Raw genomic sequence first — 4,218 nt, 5'->3', positions numbered from 1 at the left:
CCTGCTCATCAGAATCAACGTTTGCTGAAGGCTTTTTATGTATGAGGCCCTGATCTAAGGCCTAGAAGACATGGCATACTCTTCAAAACCCTTGAATAAGATTTTATTATTATCTCCACTTCACGGATAAGGAAATTGGAACAAGGAGGCTGAACAACTTAACTCTAGATCCCACAGCTGGTCAATGGCAATGCTGGAATTTGAGCTCAGGCAATCAAGTCAACTCCTATCGTCTCAACTATGAGGCAGCACAGTAATAGGCCTGTCTGTCACTGCCTCCGGACAGGGTCACCGTTTTCTAGGTGACCTCCCCAGGAGGGTGACTTCTAAACACCCCAGTGGTCACATTGAATAGGTAGGGATTGAAATGGGCTAATCAGAACATGGCAGGTGTGAACACTCTTGTCTCTATTGTTGGCCAAAGCTGTTTGGGGCTTCAGAGGTCACACTGGAAGATCCAGGGGCTCAGGGCTCTTATGAATGTCTCTGTGCCCCCAGTGCTGACTGCTGCAATTGGAGGTTCCTGTCCACAGACACATGAGTGGTGTGTGGGAGTGTTCTTTCTGTGACAAAGATAATGGACTCCAGATTCCACTCTCTAAAGCATGTCTGCTCCGTGATATTAGATTTAATTATTTGAAGTTAGTTAATAGATAGAAGTTTAATTTTTAAAATAAAGTGGATTTTATTAATGAGGGTCTAACATATTTAAATTTTTAATAACCATATTTTCCTCATAAAATTAAACAGAAAAGTACTATTTTTAAGAAATTCCTCACCTTGATGGTGTTCTTGCCCTAAATAACATTTCTGGGCTCTCATTACTGTAAGCCTTGACAGTGGAACCAAGGCCTTTTGGATCCACAGGAGGGTGTGGACAGCAAAGGCCAAATGAAACTCCATCATAGGTTCAAATTCATGTCCTCTCTGAGGGCTGAATCTTTGACCTGGAGACATTGTATTCCTAGGCTTGGACTTGTTGTCTCTAGTTTAAGAAGCTTTCCATGGGCGAGACACTTATCCATAACCTTGGGCTCTGGGGTGGCCATGCTTAGCTAGTGGATATTTGCTCTGGCAACCGTTAGTACCTGGCTCTGAGGTCAGACATAGCTTAAGGGATGCACTGGAAGTAAGTGTTTGGGAAGACCAACAGACTAGGGTTCAGCAGCACCTCCTCCATGACCGCTTTCCTAGTCTCCTCACCCCTCAAGTAGAAATATTATAACTCACTTCCTCTCTCGTGCCTCCCCTATTCTATACGCACTCTTGACCTAGCACCATTCATGTGATATTATAATCATTTGTTCACATCTATCACTTTATAATAGACAACAAGCTTCTCAAAAGCAAATACCATGTTTTTACCTTATTCTGTCCCTGCTGCCCAACAAGATGTCTGAAACTAAAATTATGGAGCTACTTAATAAATGTGTGATTGATGAATGAATGGATGAATGAATGGATTTTGTAGGAGATCCCCTTCACACCCCAGCCAGGATTTTCAGGAGTAAGAATTTGTGAATGATGGATCTGCATGACAGGGCATCCATCCATCATGCTCACCTGAGGCAGGCTGGGCAGGTGGTTGAAGCAGTTCTACTGGAAGTCCAGTCTGAGAATGCTCAGAGGCAAGAGGTAAAATGAGACTGAACCTGGCAGCTTCTCCTTCCTATGTACTCTAGAGGCTTTTTGGCCTTGAAACTACCTGGAGGCAGAAACCAAGAGCCTACTTTGTGCAGGCTGTTTGAGCTTTTTACACTAGAAATAGGGCCAGATTGGTCAGTGTGGCCAGTGGCAACCTGCTCAATAGCTAAGGCATTAGGCCACCAGTTCAGCAGCGATGTGCAGCAGGAGAGTGACTCAGTCCCCTCCTCCCCACTAGCGCTGTGACTAGCTATGCTCATGTTCTCTGATTTCAGAATGACAATGGGGTGGGAGAAGGCTCAGAGACATCTTCTGCAGCTTTTCCAGGAATCCTGTTCTGTCATTTCTGAGTATGGAGAATGGAACTTACCAGAGCTTGTTATTTTGCCCTTGATTTTACTTACTAGTTTGTAAGAACTGTGTTCTCAGCCTGCAAAAGAGAAACCTCTTCCCTCAGAAAAGGACTAAGTGTAAAGTGAGATCCATGCTTTACATTCAGTTAGAGAGAAGATGCATATAAATAGGCCAGAGCCTTATTCACAATGAGCATAAAAATGTACATACAAGGATGTACACAAACAAATAAGTGGTGAAATAAACTATGCAACATCCAACTTTCAGAATGCTACTATAGACTTTTTAAATGAGTGAGAAATTTTGATGACTGAAAAGTAAATAAGTCCATAATATACTTTTAAGTAAAAAAGCAAGTGATCTAATTTATGTTCAAAGAATATCTTATAGATGTGCATGTATGTCTGTGTATTTTGTAAAAGTAAATGTAATTGCATAAAAATATGCATACAATACTGTTGGGGTAGAGGTGAAGGGTAATTTTAATATTTTTATTGTACACAATTATAATTCATTTGAGTTTTATAATGAGCATTTATTTTTAGTTTAAAAACCAAAAATGAAGAAAAATATCAAATTAACAACAAAAAATAGGCAAGGGAAATAAACAATTTTTGAAAGAAAACATACAAACTGATACTCTTCCAATTACTGTCATTATTATTTTTAGAGACAGGGTCTCACTCTGTCACCCAGGCTAGAGCTGGAGTGCAATGGCGTAATCATAGCTCATGGCAGCCTCAAAACCCCAGACTCAAGTGATCCTCCCACCTCAACCTCCCAAGTAGCTGGGAGTACAGGTTCATGACACCATGCCTGGCTAATTCTTTTTTTTTTTTTTTTATGTTTTGTAGAGATGGAGGTCTCGCTATGTTGCCCAGGCTGGTGTTAAACTCCTGGCCTCAAGTGATCCTTCCACTTTGGCCTCCTCAAATGCTGGGATTAGAGGCGTGAGCCACCATGCCTGGCTAGTGGTGCTGTTTTTGGCATATCAAACTGGAAAGTATTTTTAAAATGTTAATCATTAAATCTGAATGAAAATGTGCTGAGATAGATAGGCCCATTCTTTTCCACCAGTGGTGGGAGTTAATGCAATTTACACTGGAATATTTATTCAAAATAGTAAGGGAAAAACATATCATGAACTTTTAAAAGGTTTATATTTTACTCATCAATTCCAATTCCAGAATCTATCAAAGAAAATAATCAGAGATAGGTTCCAAAATTGATGTATCAAAATTCTTATCACTGTTATCACTTACAAGAACAAAAAATTAAAAACAACCTACATGCTCAATACTGTTGAATTTGTTAAAGAATATTATGTAGTCATTTAAAATCTTATGCTCAAAAAGTGTTTAGTGACATGTTAATATCTCATTTTATAATGTTCAGTGAAACTGGAGACAAAAAGTATTTAAGGTGTAAATTCAACTTTTCAAGTAAATATCTAGATATTACACATATGCATTCATGCAAACATAGACAAGAAACTAGAAAAATAGACCAAACCATTAAAATTTGTTACAATTGGGGTTGCAATTTCTGCAATGTATTTTTTACACTTTTTATTTTTTTCAACAATGTTTATATATTCTATCTATAACCAGAAAAATACGATAAACTTAGACTAAAATGATATAAAAGTAAAGAAAAAACATAGCTCTTTTTGGCTAGCATCAAAGAGATAAACCCCTGGTCATGTTTATATTATGTGCTACCCTTAGTGAAATATGTTTTAGGGGTGAGAAGATTTTTAAAAGCCAGTAATGTTTACTTCTTCCAATTTTTAATAAACTTCAATGTAGACTATCTTATTTTATTTTTTGAATTTGGAATTGCATAATTCAAACACACAAGTAAAACTGCTTTTGACAGTTCATTCATTTTTATAACCTCCAGGGAGTTCAAGTCAATTCAGCTGGATTATACCCTCCATGCCACAGCCAGTCACATATGTAAAGATCTTGTTGGGAATGATCTGTGTGTTCACTGTTTGGTCCCGTCTTTGATTAAGCCCTGCACTAAGACGGTTTTGAGTCATGTGTATTTTGGATCAAGTGGACAAAAGAGCTCACTTTATCTCATCACACTCTGCAGGAAACAAATGCTGCAGATACAGGCCTGGCACCAGCAAATGCTTCCCAGTTGTTTCCAGTAATGCCTCTTTTTAACATAAATGTTACTTTTGCTGAGTTTTTTTTTATATGAGGAGAGAAG

Source organism: Homo sapiens, chromosome 6, assembly GCF_000001405.40.
Source record: "Homo sapiens chromosome 6, GRCh38.p14 Primary Assembly".
Classification (NCBI taxonomy): domain Eukaryota; kingdom Metazoa; phylum Chordata; class Mammalia; order Primates; family Hominidae; genus Homo; species Homo sapiens.
The sequence above is the reverse complement of the archived record's forward strand: the minus strand, read 5'-3'. Positions refer to the sequence as shown.